The 16,978-nt window shown below is 45.4% G+C and overlaps 1 long non-coding RNA gene and 1 pseudogene across 6 annotated transcripts in view; one reads left to right on the forward strand and one right to left on the reverse strand.

Moving 5' to 3' along the window:
• The window catches only part of LOC105369225 (uncharacterized), a 72,359-nt gene that overhangs the window by 13,817 nt on the left and 41,564 nt on the right, over positions 1-16,978 (forward strand). For 2 of the 5 annotated variants that reach the window (XR_002958152.2, XR_007065814.1), the window contains exon 2: positions 3,777-3,875. The exons of 2 other annotated variants lie outside the window; for them this stretch is intronic. This is a non-coding gene — a long non-coding RNA (uncharacterized LOC105369225). Of the gene's footprint in view, positions 1-3,737; positions 3,876-16,978 lie in introns of those variants that run through there. One more of the 5 variants, XR_001752911.2, reaches the window with a different exon arrangement.
• Positions 1,195-15,835, reverse strand: LRRC37A4P (leucine rich repeat containing 37 member A4, pseudogene; annotated as a pseudogene). Its single transcript, NR_002940.2, has 6 exons — positions 13,173-15,835; positions 12,490-12,594; positions 9,180-10,837; positions 8,497-8,601; positions 5,556-5,605; positions 1,195-3,851 (listed from the first exon to the last, which is right to left on the reverse strand). The product of NR_002940.2 is annotated as a leucine rich repeat containing 37 member A4, pseudogene (transcript).

Raw genomic sequence — 16,978 nt, forward strand, 5'->3', positions numbered from 1 at the left:
AGATGCTTGGCCTTGCACCTGGGGTCTGACATGGGGATGGTCCTGTGTGACTGAGCCCTTAACCTGTGGAGTCTGGTGCTCACTCTGCTTAGGGCTTCTCTGCCTTTTTAGTGTCCTTCTAGAAGGCCTTTCCTTCCTCTTGTCAGCTCAGAAAACTTTTCTTCCACTTCCCTTCTTCTAAACCATCCCTTACATCTACTCCTTTCCAGTCGACCAAGAGCAGAACCACGGCTGGCTCCACTGCCACCATGCTGTCCCACACTGTCTCCTCAGGATGTATTCAGATGTCCAGCCCTCCCCCCAGTCTAGGAGCCCCCCCTTTGAGGAAAGGGATGCTGGCCTAGTCAACTCTTTCCCAGCACCAGGCACAGCATCTGGCACGTTCCATCTTTTTCGTGGACTCCCCCCAGGCGGCCTGACCTTCCCTCCTCTGAACCGGTGCATTTCTTGTCTGCATCATGTTTGCCCTAATCAGATATCGCCTTATTTCCATCTTTTAAAAAATGCTTTATTTCTCTGGCAGGCTTCATCGGAATCACAATTTTCATTCATTTAGTAACTGTTGGCCTTGTATCCACCCCTCTCTGGCACTCAGGTCTCACTTAAGAGCTGGCTGTCTGAGCTGTGATTTGCGATCAGTGAGATGGAGACAGAGGCAGCCCTAGGCAGTCATGTTTTGTTCCACCTGACCCTGGGCGCCACTCCCCCTCCCAGGCTACAGGCAGGCATGGGCACCAGCCAGGGAGAGACAGCTCATCCATACTCTGGCCCAGCAGAAACTCTGGGCTTAGACAAAACTGCTCAATTGAGGACAAACTGGGCAAAGTAGAATCTTTCTTTGGGAGTTTTTAGAAATATGGTGGGGTGGCATTTGGGAATAATAAGAATAGTAGCTGGGCATGGTGGTACGCGCCTGTAGACCCCCAGCTCTGGAGGCTGAGGTAGGAGGATCTTTGGAGCCCAAGAGCTTGAGGCAGCAGTGAGCTATGAAGGCACCACTGCACTCCAGCCTGGGTGACAGATCAAGACCCTGTCTGAAAAAAAAAATGTACACATTTGAGATGCATAAAATTTTCTTGTTATATAAAAAAATTATAAGCATCGAAATGCGAAATTATGTAAATATGCCAAAATAGAAACCTGGAGGTGCTTGGAATCCAGACTTTGAGAGCCCAGCAGTGGAAGGATCTCTAGTGTTGGCTTTTTTTTTTTTTTGAGATGGAATCTCGCTCTGTTGCCCAGGCTAGTGTGCAGTGGCCCATTATAAGCTCACTGCAAGCTCCGCCTCCCAGGTTCAAGCAATTCTCCCTCCCTCAGCTTCCTGAGTAACTGGGATTACAGGCGTGCATCACCACCCCCAGCTAATTTTTGTAATTTTTAGTAGAGACAGGGTTTTGCCATATTGGCCGGGGTGGTCTTGAACTCCTGCCTCAGGTGGTCCACCTACCTCAGCCTCCCAAAGTGCTGGGATTACAAGCATGAGTCACTGCAACCGGCCTTGTCTTGGCTTCTTCTCAGCTCCCTGCTTATGTCCAACACTCACCCCTATTAGAGCTGGTGTGGGGAGCTTCTGTTCTGATGACTTAACAGTGTAATTATAGTGCTTAGCGCTGTACCTGGACCACAGCTGGTGCCAATAAACAGGAGCTGCCATCCATCTGCATGTTATTGTTATATTAACTCTTTGATGGCAACCATGGCTTATCCCCCCATCTCCCCATGCCCTACAGCAGGGCAGTAGAATGGTTAAGAGGCTTTGAAGTCTAACAGTGCTAGCTTAAAACCCTAATTTGTTGCTTTGTATGTGTGGCTTTGGACACTTTGGGCAGGTCACCTTCGTTCTTCGAGCCCTGTATCCTTATCTGTCAGATGATGATTTTTTTTTTTTTTTTTTTTTGAGATGGAGTCTCACTTGCCCAGGCTGGAGTGCAGTGGCGTGATCTCAGCTCACTGTAAGCTCCACCTTCCAGGTTCACACCATTCTCCTGCCTCAGCTTCCTGAGTAGCTGGGACTACAGGCTCCTGCCACCACGCCCGGCTAATTTTTTTGTATTTTTAGTGGAGACAGGGTTTCACCATGTTAGCCAGGATGGTCTCAATCTCCTGACCTCGTGATCCGCCCGCCTCAGCCTCCCAAAGTGTCAGATGATTTTAACAACTATGCTTCCATGACTTGCTGGGCTAGATGATATGACTGTAAAATGCCAAACCCACGGTTTAGCATCAAGTAAGCAAATTGTAAATGGTAGCGCTGCTCTGCCTATGACTAGTCTTGTGCTTTAAACTCAAATATTTGTTGGCCTACTGAAGTCACCACACAGAGAAAGATGCTTTTCATTCTCAGTAAAGAACTTTGGGAGATAACTGGGGCAGGCAGCAAGAGAACAGATGTCATATGTCTAGCATCAGCAAACTCATCGGAACTGATGGGCAGCTCACTTTGCTTAGAACCTGCACCAGCATACACACGGGGCTGCTTCCCAGTCACACTGCTCCTGGGAAGGTAGGGGGGCTGCTGTTCTGCAATTAGCGTGGTTCTTTACCTCCTATTACTGAACTGCCAGAGTTCATTTGTGTTCAGTTAGGTAGATGACCAATTCTTGTTCATTCCTATTTTCTTTTGCTCACTAATGTGTTTAACATTCACTAACCTACCAAATGTGATTTATTAGCGACTTTTTCTTTGAAGATGGAGTGGAGGAATCCTAGCACTTTCTGCAACATTCTACTGCTGTTATGGAACAGTGCAGTTATGGATGAGCGTCAGCCGGGGATGGGGAGAGGCTAGGGCAGTACATGTGAATTGAGAGGTAGCCCCACCAGTGTGTTTTCTGAAATACAGTCCCACAGAGGGCAGTCTTGGGAAATTACTGTTCTCACACTCTTCTTGACTCTACCCCTCCAGCACCTCCCTGCTATCCAAGGGTTGGGATTTTTAAAAAGAAAAACAAATTTTTAAAAAAGCAATGTGAATCTTTTGCCATCTTGTAAGGGTGAAAAGCCCCCTACCAAGTCGGGATGAACACTCATGCGTGTGCTTGAGGGCTTGGGAAAAAGACAGGGCTTGGCCCCACAGTGCAGGTAGGCCCAGTGATCCTATGATAGGGGCCAGGAGATGGGAGGTCCCCTGTGGGCAGGAGTTCAAATCTGTGGTATTATATGACTGATGCTTGATGAAGCAAGGGAGAGGGCACCAAAAACAATGGTAATTGTAAAATCTCCACCCCCTGAGGATATGTTTTCAGGTCTGGGTGACTAATTAGACTGGGAAACAAGGGCAGGAACGATGGCCCTGTGCTTGCTCTGCCCGCTGCCTCTGTGGATGTGTGGGCCGCTGGCTTCAGTCCTGCTTTTCTTTCTGATGGTATTGTTTATGCTATGTGTTTTTGCAGGAGGCCTGAGGTGGGCTGGGTTCTCCTCCTATGGCAGGGCTTCACTCTCCTCCCCCTTCTCTGTTGGGGCTTCGCTGTCCCTGGGATAAGAATAACAATGCCAAGGTTTTGATTCTTGAAAGGAGCAATTAAGCTTCTCACCCCCTCCTCATTTTAGATGGGACCTGTGAGGGCTCCGTCATTTACCCAGGGTCCCTGTTGAGGATCTCGTCCTCATTAGATGACTTCTTGTGCAGCTTCCATGCGTGATTATTTACTCTTGTGGCACTGAGAGGTTTGTACATATCTTTAAGCCAGAGCGGCCGTCTGAATGAAAAAAGTCCATCCTAGAAGATAGAAAGGGAAATACTAATTTTGCATGTCCTCTGCCTTCCCTGGCCACAGCAATGAATCCTCCAATGTACCTGACTCTCCCTTCGTGAAGAGCATCTCCTCCGTGGCAGAAACCTGAAAATGCCCCTGGGGAGACACATGCACAAGACAGTGAGTGATGCAGCCATTTCCCACGTATCTCACAATGTACTTCTCTGGTCTTACTAGGACTAAATGAGTATCTCAGTCCATAATCACAGGGAGAAGAACCACCACAGACCACATACCTGGGGTCTTGAAAATAATTCCATGCATGTGGGACTTTCAGAAGCTCTCCCATGTCTGTCCAGAAGGGCCCCACAATATAATGGGGGGACTTTGTATGTGGCTCAGCATGGAGCAGGGGCAGGATGTTCAGTCCCACTCACTCCCTTGGCCAAGTGCCCTTGTGCAGTGAACAAACTGCACAACCATGCTGGGCGGAAGCATTTTATATCAGTCCCCTTTGGACTTAGTCTCACAGGCATCATTTGATGGGGGGGTGGGAGATGAAGTGGTTCTTCCTTTTCTAGATACTTTATTCTATAAGTTGGATCACCTCAAGCAAATGTCTGAGTGCAGCTAGCCAAGTTCTCTATCTCAGTCTTCATACGGCTGGCTGTCGCTGATGAGTGAGTGAGCTACGAAATCAGCTTAAAGCACAACATGTTATTTTTGAATTTGAATAAAATAGGAAAAGGCAGAGTGCATTGTGTGACCATGGGGTAAGACACTCTCCCTTTCTCCTTCTCAGTTTTCCTGTCATAAAAGGACAAACTACTATCTAAGGTCTCCGTAGTTAAAATTCTTTTTTGTTGTTTTTTTTATTTGAGACAGTTTGGCTCATTCCCCAGGCTGGAGTGCAATGGTGCTATCTTGGCTCCCTGCAACCTGTGCCTCCTGGGTTCAAGCAGTTCTCCTGCCTCAGCCTCCCAAGTAGCTGGGATTACAGGCCTGCGCCACCACACCCAGCTAATTTAGTATTTTTAGTAGAGATGGGGTTTCACCATGTTGGTCAGGCTGGTCACGAGCTCCTAACCTCAAGTGATCCCAAAGTGCTGTGATTACAGGCGTGAGCCATCCTGCCTGGCCTTTCTGGTTAAAATTCTGTGAGGTTTGCCTAAAAGGAATAGAGTAGGGACACAAAAACCAGTAAGATGAGAAAATAGTGTTTCCTCAGTTCTAGGATCCAGGGGAAAAAATAAATAAATAAAAGAGAAAATACTGTTTCCTGCCACTTAAGAGGAAGGACTCACATATCCTACCTTCCATCAGCCTTGAAGGAGACAAGTGCCCTCTCTCTCACACCCGGTGGCCTTCCCTTCCCCTTTCCCAGAGCCTCCAAGAAGGCCCCTGGCCTGGCCTGATGCCCACCATCAGCAGCAATAGGCACCAAAACCTTTCTCCTTCCTATCCCTCCCCACCTCCCGAAAGGGCTGGGGACAGCAGGTGTGTCCTTGTTAGTTCCATCCAGCTCAGCTTTGGCTGGGGAGCTAATTTCACTGGAGCCAGGCTAAGCATTAGGGTAAGTAAGTATTTGTCCTGTCTTGGGCAGTTTCCTCACTGAAAAATGAGGGCAGAGTTCTAAGCCCTCCTCTAATTCTAAAATTCTAATTAAAACGTCGCGAGACTAGTGGTGGTGCATGCCTGTAATCCCAGCTACTCGGGAGGCTGAGGCAGGAGAATCGCTTGAACCTGGTAAGTGGAGGTTGCCGTGAGCCGAGATCGCGTCATTGCACTCCAGCCTGGCAACAAGAGGGAAACTCCGTCTGAAAAGAAAAGAAAAAAAAAAATCACCAGACTAATATTTACCTTGAGAATCCTTCTTCATCTTCTTGTAATGACCTTCGGTGACAACACATCTGTTTTAGAAGAAAACGCAATTAAGATTATCTATGACAACAACCACCATCTCCAAATCTGTATTGATTCATTTTATTCATTATAAGTCTCATCTACCTGATGAGGTAACTTTTTTGAAGACAGGAATTGCATACTGTGTAACACTGCTTTGATTCTTCCATAGTTCAGTCATCCTTGCTATCTTGCGGGGGATTGGTTCTAGGATACCGCCCCCACACCATACCAGAATCTGTGGATGCTCAATCCCTTACACATAATGGTGTAGTATTTGCTTATAACCAACACGCATCCCCCCTATACTTTATTTACTTAGCGACAGGATTGCCCTCTGTTGCTTACGCTGGAGTGCAGTGTCATCCTCTGTTACTCAGGATGGAGTGCGGTGTCATGATCACAGCTCACTGTAGCCTCAACCTCCTGGGCTCCAGTGATCCGCCCACCTCAGCCTCTTGAGTAGCTGAGACTACAGGTGCATACTACCACACCTGGCTATTTTTTTTTTTAATTTTTAATAAAGACAAGGTCTCACTATGCTGCCCAGGTTGGCCTCCCAATGTGTTGGGATTACAAGTGTGAGCCACCATGCCTGGCCCCATGTAATTTAAGTCATCACTAATAAAATGTATACATATTGTACAGTGGTGACAGTTGTTATATTGTACTTTCTGTTTGTATTTTTATTGTTTTTTTTTCTTCAAATATTCAGCCTGATCTAGTTGAATCTGAAGATGTGGACCTGCTGATGAAGAGGGCTGACTGTATCTAACTTAGGGTCTTGCATGCAGCTGGCACTTAATACATTTTATTGACTGTTTTAGATAACATTCAACAGATAATTCCTAATAAAAACTCTTAAAAGTAGGAGAAAAAGGAAACCTGAGTCCTTCCTCTGAAGTGGCAGGAAAACTAGCCTGGGCAACATAGCAAGACCTTGTCTCTACAAACACATTTTTTAAATTAGCTGCCTGCCTGTAGTCCCAGCCACTCAGGAAGCTGAGGCAGGAGGATCCCTTAAGCCCAGGAGTTTGATGTTACAGTGAGCTAGGTCACACCATTGCTCTCCAGCCTGGGTGACAACAAGGCCCTGAGAAGGGAAAAAAAAGGAAAGGAAAGGAAAGGAAAAAGGAAAAGGGAAAGGAAGGAAAGAGTAGAAGTATTGGAAAGGAAGAGACAAAACTATCATTATTTGCATATTAAATGAAAAATGTTAGCCAAAGAAGCCTAAGAGAATCAACTAAGATTTTACTGGAAGTAATGAGAATTCAATACAGTGGCTATCTACAAAATCAAGAAATCAGCACACAAACCTCAAATACTTTTCCCATGTACCACCAATAACTAATTAGAAAATGGAAGAAAGATCCCATTTACAATGGCAATACAAATGTATGAAGAATTTAGGAACAAAAATACAAAGATCTTTTATCTAATAAAAGATGTGTAAGATCTATATATGGAAACACTAAAGCTCTTCTGAAAGACATTAACAAGAAATGAATACATGACATGAGATAGCACGTTCCTAGAATGTTCTACAGATGTAAATTCTCAAATTAATCTACAAATTTAACATAATCCTATTCAAATCCCAAGATAGTTTTTGGTGGTGGTTGTTTTTAAGACAGGGCCTCGCTGTGTTGCCCAGGCTAGAGTGCAGTGGTACGACCACAGCTTACTGCATTCTCGACCTCCCAGGCTCAAGCGATCCTCCCACTTCAGCCTCTGAAGTCTCTCATATGGTGTCCAAGAAATGGTGACAAATCTCACAAAGGGACTAGGCTCAGCAGGGCTGGAATATTCAGGGAAGGTGTCAAGAAGAAAGATGAACTTGAGTTGGCTTTTGAGAGATGCATAGGACTCCCACAGGCAGAGTGAAATAAGGGCATTTTAGATGGACAAACACACAGACAAAAGCAGAAATGTGGGTGGTGTGACTGGGGTATGGTGAGGGGCTGCTGTGGCTGGAATGGAGGGCTGCCACAATAATGGAAATGGTAAATGAGGCAAATAAGGTTGGACTGGTGGCATAGCGTCAAGGTTGCCAGCTTTATTAAATCACTCTTCCAATATGCTAGCACTGGCCTGTTGGGAAAAGTAATATATCATGTAATCGAACAAAAGACAAACAGAGGCAAGCTCCAGGAATGGGCACTGTAAACAGGACTTGCCCCAGAGTAGCCAGATGTAGGCTTTAGATAAGTTGATGCAGGCTGAGCATCTCTAATCTGAGGGGGAATGTCTCACGTGGTGTCCAAGAAATGGTGACACATCTCACAGAGGGTCTAGGCTCAAGAGGGCTAGAGTATGAGACGTTCCCCCTCGCCTGCGAACTTAAAAATGTGGCCAACAATTTTTGTAAAAGATGGCTACTCTGTAGTGCTTTAACTGGACCTATTTAGACAATGCCTTACACACTGGAGGACGATACTGTGTAAATCTAATAAGTCTACAAGACAATACTTCTGTCTTTTGGCTCTCTCCTTCCTCTCCAGGGTGATGACAAATCCGTGAGGGTGGAGATTATACCTCTCTCATCATTTCAGCACCAAGGAAATAAATTAGTGGCAGAGTAAGGGTGACTTGATGAGTACATCCAATTGTTGACATAGTTTTGGGTGGAGAAATTTTGCTATTATATCGACTTCTTAAAATAGTCTAGTGGGATTAACTTGGTTTCAATTCACAGAGATCTGGAAGCGAGGATCTTTTAAAAATCCTGAAATATACACTGCAATAAAAGAACAAAGCATACACCTCAGCCTTAAATGACTGAAGAAGTATGTCAAGTAGCAGCAGGTGGGAAAGTGGCTTTGGTTTTCAGTTTGTGAGCTCTGAATCCACACAAAAACAGGACTGCATTCTGAAAACCTGAATTAATTATTGTCCTTACCACAATGAGGCAGAAAAGTATAATCAAAATCATTAGTATTTCAGTCACAATTAATGCCAAGATGAGTTTGTCAGTATAGCCGTATCCTGGAACTTCTTTTGTGAGCTAAAAAAAACAAAAAAACAAAAAAAAAACACACCAGAATGAGAGCTAACTATTCAAAACCCCAGTATTCCAGGTGAGTAGCTTACAGGTTCTATTTTATTTTTTTGAAAGAGGGTCTCACTCTGTTACCCAGGCTGGGGTACAGTGGTGCAATCACCGTTCACTAGACTCGACCTCCCTGGGCTCAGGTGATCCTCCCACCTCAGCCTCCCAAGTAGCTGGGACTACAGGCACGTGTCATCAACCCAGCTAATTTTTTTATTTTTTGTGGAGACAGGCTTTCACTATGTTGGCCAAGCTGGTCTCAAACTCCTGACTTCAAGTAATCCACCCACCTTGGCCTCCCAAAGTGCTGAGATTACAGGCATGAGCTACCACCCCCGGCCTACAGTTCATCTTGTGCCCTAATCTATATTTCACTCTCTACATGAGCAAAGTGGGAGATCACTGTCATGACCAAAGTTACATGGCCAAGATAAGCTATGGCCTGGGAGTCCCAGATTCTTCTGTGTGGGCACTTTCCTGGGATATGCTAAATGATGGGAAATCTGGGTCTCATGTTTCTGTGTGGTCCTCACCTCAAGCGACTTCTCTTTCTGTTCACTCTGGGCTTCCGTGCTCTCATTAATGTAGTTCTCAGTCTTCCATTGGTCCGTATCCCATTCTATCTCAGATGCCTTTACTTCCTGCTGCCCACTGAGAAGCTTCATCAGGTGGCCTGTCCTGGAGATGAGCTTGGCACAGGTCACTTGCACATGGGCCCCAGAGCAGTCCATCTTCAAGGTCCGGATAACATGAGAAATGAGCCTTCTCACATTGTTGTTGGGGATAAGGGACTGTAGCTGCTGGGTTAGCTGAATTTCAAACTGAGCAATGGGTAATTGAAGCTTTTGGGCTCGGGGGACAGGTCAGTGCCCACGTTGTTGTATTCCCATTTTGTCTCAGTTTGTTTAACAGTTGGCCCTAAGTTGAATGCAGTCCCAGCGGAATCTGCCTCAGGAGGATGATTGTAGTTTGTGTTTTCAGAGATGGTGACTTCTGGCATGTTAGTGTTTTCCATAAAAACATTTTCTTCCAAGGCATTTCTTGCAGTTGTGTCTTTTATATTAGTGGTTTCTATAAAATGTTCTGAAGGAGCAGATACTTCCAGAAAAGGGTTTTCTTGAGGACTCAGGTCTCCTAAGGATGAAAAAGCCCCTTGTGAAGGGGAATTTATGAGGCTCTTCGCTGCAGAGAACGGAGGCCTGTTTGCGAGCATCAGTCTACTCAGATAACTTTTCTTTCTGAACTTTGGACTCTTTTTGACCTTGGGTGTTCTGTGGGTCATGCGGAGCGAGTTTTGTGAAAGCGGTATTTTTTTCTGGAATGTGAAATTGGTTTAGAAGCCTTCATATTTGTAACTCTAGCCTTTGCACTTTCTAAAATGGAAATAGTGTGTGTTGTCTTTCAATCTGTCTCTCACCTGTGGTAGGGCTTTTGCAGGGCTGGAGGTAGAAGGCGCGCCCTTGGAGAAGGGTGTCAGCACAGAGACTGCTGCCTTATGCTCTTGGCTGAACGAAGGCTTGGTGTAGATGGCGTTTCCCGCTAACTTCTCAGGCCCCTGCTGTGTGTGAGGCTGTTCCAGCTCCCTTGGGGCTGGACTCCCGAGCCTTTTTTCTTCGGCAGCGTTCTCCACAGATGCCTGGGCACCCTGTTCCCTCCTGATGCTCTGCCTTCCCACCTCTTTGAAGTGCCTTTTCTGGATGCTCATTGGGCCCATGAGGACTCTATTCACTTTTTGCCAGTTTTGGCCTACAGTTTGAATCTTTGCCAGGCTGTTTCCTGTGGTTGGCAGTTTAATGAACGGTAGTAACATTGATTCCACATCTAGGTTTACTGCTGAGAAATATGGCAAATGTAACTTAGTGCACTGATAACATCACTCTCGTCATTGGTGTCTAGCTGCTCACTCCCAAAGCCTGACAAGTTGATGCCACTGCTGTCTGAGGGCTCCTCCGGCTCAACAGTCAGCTCAGTGCTTGTGTAATTCTTCCGGGCTTGTAACATCTTCATGAATGCTCCTTCTGGATTCCCTACAGATTCTTCTTCAGCTGTCAAAAAAGAGACTGCTTTGCTCGTGAAAGATGATGGGATGGGATGCATCAGTCCATAGCTGTACACCCCAGTCACGCAGAGTAGGAGTCAGCAAACATTTGAGTGCCATTCAGAGAGGAGACACACACACCCAATCCTAAACCTATGAAATGGCAACAACAAAAGGAGAAAATATATCTTTTGAAAACACGGCCATCTACTTGGAACATTCCATAGTGTGACATAGAGTAACTCTGCTTAGGATTATTTCATTGATCCCCAGGGTCCAATTGCCCAGTGCTCAGTCAAAGCCCAAGGTGGAAGACAAGTGCTTCCCTGATGAGCTGATGAGCTGGCCTCTCTGCAGACTGCTCCATACCCTGTGCTGTCCTGCCTCAGATGCAGAGAGAGCACAAGGCTCCCGCTCTCCTCGTCCTCGGTGCGCCTGTGTTCTTGCTACCATCACAGCTGAATGCAATGAAAGGCGGTCCTCTGAGAGGAGCAGGGTGGAGATGCTAAAGTGGAGGCCCCCTCCCATTGCTGATAGATCCTCATCTGGCATGCGCTCCACCCTCCCCATTCTCTGCTCCCACATATCGTAGCCCCATCACAGAAGATGCGACATGGAAAAAAGCACTGTGTCCACCCTAGTTCTTAAATTTGGGCAGGGATTTGGGGTGTATGTTAAGAGTTTTTCAAATTTGCCAGATTGTATGCCTATGTTGTTAAATACACAGTGAATCTCTGGTATGATAGCAGTTTCTGGTGGGAGATGCATAGGACTCCCACAGGCAGAGTGAAATAAGGGCATTTTAGATGGACAAACACACAGACAAAAGCAGAAATGTGGGTGGTGTGACTGGGGTATGGTGAGGGGCTGCTGTGGCTGGAATGGAGGGCTGCCACAATAATGGAAATGGTAAATGAGGCAAATAAGGTTGGACTGGTGGCATAGCGTCAAGGTTGCCAGCTTTATTAAATCACTCTTCCAATATGCTAGCACTGGCCTGTTGGGAAAAGTAATATATCATGTAATCGAACAAAAGACAAACAGAGGCAAGCTCCAGGAATGGGCACTGTAAACAGGACTTGCCCCAGAGTAGCCAGATGTAGGCTTTAGATAAGTTGATGCAGGCTGAGCATCTCTAATCTGAGGGGGAATGTCTCACGTGGTGTCCAAGAAATGGTGACACATCTCACAGAGGGTCTAGGCTCAGGAGGGCTAGAGTATGAGACGTTCCCCCTCGCCTGCGAACTTAAAAATGTGGCCAACAATTTTTGTAAAAGATGGCTACTCTGTAGTGCTTTAACTGGACCTATTTAGACAATGCCTTACACACTGGAGGACGATACTGTGTAAATCTAATAAGTCTACAAGACAATACTTCTGTCTTTTGGCTCTCTCCTTCCTCTCCAGGGTGATGACAAATCCGTGAGGGTGGAGATTATACCTCTCTCATCATTTCAGCACCAAGGAAATAAATTAGTGGCAGAGTAAGGGTGACTTGATGAGTACATCCAATTGTTGACATAGTTTTGGGTGGAGAAATTTTGCTATTATATCGACTTCTTAAAATAGTCTAGTGGGATTAACTTGGTTTCAATTCACAGAGATCTGGAAGCGAGGATCTTTTAAAAATCCTGAAATATACACTGCAATAAAAGAACAAAGCATACACCTCAGCCTTAAATGACTGAAGAAGTATGTCAAGTAGCAGCAGGTGGGAAAGTGGCTTTGGTTTTCAGTTTGTGAGCTCTGAATCCACACAAAAACAGGACTGCATTCTGAAAACCTGAATTAATTATTGTCCTTACCACAATGAGGCAGAAAAGTATAATCAAAATCATTAGTATTTCAGTCACAATTAATGCCAAGATGAGTTTGTCAGTATAGCCGTATCCTGGAACTTCTTTTGTGAGCTAAAAAAAACAAAAAAACAAAAAAAAAACACACCAGAATGAGAGCTAACTATTCAAAACCCCAGTATTCCAGGTGAGTAGCTTACAGGTTCTTTTTTATTTTTTTGAAAGAGGGTCTCACTCTGTTACCCAGGCTGGGGTACAGTGGTGCAATCACCGTTCACTAGACTCGACCTCCCTGGGCTCAGGTGATCCTCCCACCTCAGCCTCCCAAGTAGCTGGGACTACAGGCACGTGTCATCAACCCAGCTAATTTTTTTATTTTTTGTGGAGACAGGCTTTCACTATGTTGGCCAAGCTGGTCTCAAACTCCTGACTTCAAGTAATCCACCCACCTTGGCCTCCCAAAGTGCTGAGATTACAGGCATGAGCTACCACCCCCGGCCTACAGTTCATCTTGTGCCCTAATCTATATTTCACTCTCTACATGAGCAAAGTGGGAGATCACTGTCATGACCAAAGTTACATGGCCAAGATAAGCTATGGCCTGGGAGTCCCAGATTCTTCTGTGTGGGCACTTTCCTGGGATATGCTAAATGATGGGAAATCTGGGTCTCATGTTTCTGTGTGGTCCTCACCTCAAGCGACTTCTCTTTCTGTTCACTCTGGGCTTCCGTGCTCTCATTAATGTAGTTCTCAGTCTTCCATTGGTCCGTATCCCATTCTATCTCAGATGCCTTTACTTCCTGCTGCCCACTGAGAAGCTTCATCAGGTGGCCTGTCCTGGAGATGAGCTTGGCACAGGTCACTTGCACATGGGCCCCAGAGCAGTCCATCTTCAAGGTCCGGATAACATGAGAAATGAGCCTTCTCACATTGTTGTTGGGGATAAGGGACTGTAGCTGCTGGGTTAGCTGAATTTCAAACTGAGCAATGGGTAATTGAAGCTTTTGGGCTCGGGGGACAGGTCAGTGCCCACGTTGTTGTATTCCCATTTTGTCTCAGTTTGTTTAACAGTTGGCCCTAAGTTGAATGCAGTCCCAGCGGAATCTGCCTCAGGAGGATGATTGTAGTTTGTGTTTTCAGAGATGGTGACTTCTGGCATGTTAGTGTTTTCCATAAAAACATTTTCTTCCAAGGCATTTCTTGCAGTTGTGTCTTTTATATTAGTGGTTTCTATAAAATGTTCTGAAGGAGCAGATACTTCCAGAAAAGGGTTTTCTTGAGGACTCAGGTCTCCTAAGGATGAAAAAGCCCCTTGTGAAGGGGAATTTATGAGGCTCTTCGCTGCAGAGAACGGAGGCCTGTTTGCGAGCATCAGTCTACTCAGATAACTTTTCTTTCTGAACTTTGGACTCTTTTTGACCTTGGGTGTTCTGTGGGTCATGCGGAGCGAGTTTTGTGAAAGCGGTATTTTTTTCTGGAATGTGAAATTGGTTTAGAAGCCTTCATATTTGTAACTCTAGCCTTTGCACTTTCTAAAATGGAAATAGTGTGTGTTGTCTTTCAATCTGTCTCTCATCTGTGGTAGGGCTTTTGCAGGGCTGGAGGTAGAAGGCGCGCCCTTGGAGAAGGGTGTCAGCACAGAGACTGCTGCCTTATGCTCTTGGCTGAACGAAGGCTTGGTGTAGATGGCGTTTCCCGCTAACTTCTCAGGCCCCTGCTGTGTGTGAGGCTGTTCCAGCTCCCTTGGGGCTGGACTCCCGAGCCTTTTTTCTTCGGCAGCGTTCTCCACAGATGCCTGGGCACCCTGTTCCCTCCTGATGCTCTGCCTTCCCACCTCTTTGAAGTGCCTTTTCTGGATGCTCATTGGGCCCATGAGGACTCTATTCACTTTTTGCCGGTTTTGGCCTACAGTTTGAATCTTTGCCAGGCTGTTTCCTGTGGTTGGCAGTTTAATGAACGGTAGTAACATTGATTCCACATCTAGGTTTACTGCTGAGAAATATGGCAAATGTAACTTAGTGCACTGATAACATCACTCTCGTCATTGGTGTCTAGCTGCTCACTCCCAAAGCCTGACAAGTTGATGCCACTGCTGTCTGAGGGCTCCTCCGGCTCAACAGTCAGCTCAGTGCTTGTGTAATTCTTCCGGGCTTGTAACATCTTCATGAATGCTCCTTCTGGATTCCCTACAGATTCTTCTTCAGCTGTCAAAAAAGAGACTGCTTTGCTCGTGAAAGATGATGGGATGGGATGCATCAGTCCATAGCTGTACACCCCAGTCACGCAGAGTAGGAGTCAGCAAACATTTGAGTGCCATTCAGAGAGGAGACACACACACCCAATCCTAAACCTATGAAATGGCAACAACAAAAGGAGAAAATATATCTTTTGAAAACACGGCCATCTACTTGGAACATTCCATAGTGTGACATAGAGTAACTCTGCTTAGGATTATTTCATTGATCCCCAGGGTCCAATTGCCCAGTGCTCAGTCAAAGCCCAAGGTGGAAGACAAGTGCTTCCCTGATGAGCTGATGAGCTGGCCTCTCTGCAGACTGCTCCATACCCTGTGCTGTCCTGCCTCAGATGCAGAGAGAGCACAAGGCTCCCGCTCTCCTCGTCCTCGGTGCGCCTGTGTTCTTGCTACCATCACAGCTGAATGCAATGAAAGGCGGTCCTCTGAGAGGAGCAGGGTGGAGATGCTAAAGTGGAGGCCCCCTCCCATTGCTGATAGATCCTCATCTGGCATGCGCTCCACCCTCCCCATTCTCTGCTCCCACATATCGTAGCCCCATCACAGAAGATGCGACATGGAAAAAAGCACTGTGTCCACCCTAGTTCTTAAATTTGGGCAGGGATTTGGGGTGTATGTTAAGAGTTTTTCAAATTTGCCAGATTGTATGCCTATGTTGTTAAATACACAGTGAATCTCTGGTATGATAGCAGTTTCTGGATAAACATTACTTGAGGTCCTAAAATGCAGAAGGGAAAAAGCAACTTTTGTCAGATGCCTACTTTGCTTTCATTTCATCTCTAATATTTTGGATGGGGAATCAGCCAAGGCTTCTGACTGCAGGAAGGTCAAGTGTGCCAGTGTGCAGCTGGGTTTCTTTTCCAGAATTAAAAGCATTTTGGGTGGTGGTGAGGGTCAGAGGAAGAAGTAAAGATTGTGAGAAAGTGGAAGAAGCATGGGCTTGGGGAGAACCCAGAATTGGGGCCAGAAGACCTGGCACTAGGCTACAGCACTTAGCACCTCTGATCTTGTTTTTCTTCATCTGTAAAAGGAGGTTAACAAAGCTTTTCTGCCCACTTCTTGGGGAGAAGGGAATAATATAATTGGTAAAAAAAAAAAAAAGTTTTGAAAAATAAGCAACACTGACTTTATGTAACCAAGCATTATTAATTCTCCACCCCATATCACTGGTAGATACCTGTATTCAAGCTATCTGGACATGAAAGCAGTCACATTTTAGAAGTCATGAAGTTGATGCTAATAAACCTAATCTACAGAAACACTCTTGAAAGCCCTTGAGCGTTTGTTCTGTGAACAGAAAGGTTTGAGATTCAGAGCAAGTTCAGAGTTGGATGGTCTAAGAATGGAAAAGACCTCCATTCTATTAGAAGAGTCAGGTAGCAATTTCTGGTTATGGAACCAGAAGCTCTCAGGCTTCAAATAAAACAGCATCACTTGTACTCTCATAAAACTGTAAAAACAGAAAAACCGAAACCGTATCTACATCTGTCCTATAAGGCAGAGAGTACTTGAGACCTCATGAATTTAAAACCACCTTACAAACTACATTGCACTATATGAAGAAATTATCACTGTGGGCAAAGCATCAAGCAGAGAGCACAGTACACAGTGTGTGGATGTTAATGTTATTCTCTAGCCTTCCCATTCCTTTGTCTTGGTCCTTTGTGCATATGGAACAGTTCTATTATTAAATTTTGTAATAGTAACTGAGAACCTGACTCTCAGCAAGGGAGTAGTTCAGAAATTGAGGGAGTTTAACTCTGAATGAGTAAATAAAAATAAAGCAATTATGTCATTAGCTTAAAATTTTATCATCATTAAAAATAAAAAGTTTAAAAACAAATACTTAATGTAACAATTTATCACCGCGCAATTTGGACTCACGACAATGTATGGTGTTTGTCAGACATGCACTGTTGCAATGCAGCTTGACTGTCTTGCAGACAGCCTCAATGCTGTTTTTAAGTTGGCAGAGGCAGCAGGCCATATGGCTAGGTAAGATCCTATAGATGAAAACAGAGAGCAATAAATTAGCGGTAAAGCGGTTACTTGAGTAGGTAAAGGAGGCAGCCAACGCTACCACAGGTGTGGGAAAAAGGTGTCATTGAAGCCTATGGACTGGACAGTTGGGTAGGAACCAGAAGGCCAATAGGAAGGAGGGCAAAGGTGCCCAACTGAAGGGTAAGCATGGCAGTGAGTATGGTATGCCTAGAATAAAGATGGTTGGGATTAGAATTGGGTGAC

This window comes from Homo sapiens, chromosome 17, assembly GCF_000001405.40.
Source record: "Homo sapiens chromosome 17, GRCh38.p14 Primary Assembly".
Taxonomy (NCBI): domain Eukaryota; kingdom Metazoa; phylum Chordata; class Mammalia; order Primates; family Hominidae; genus Homo; species Homo sapiens.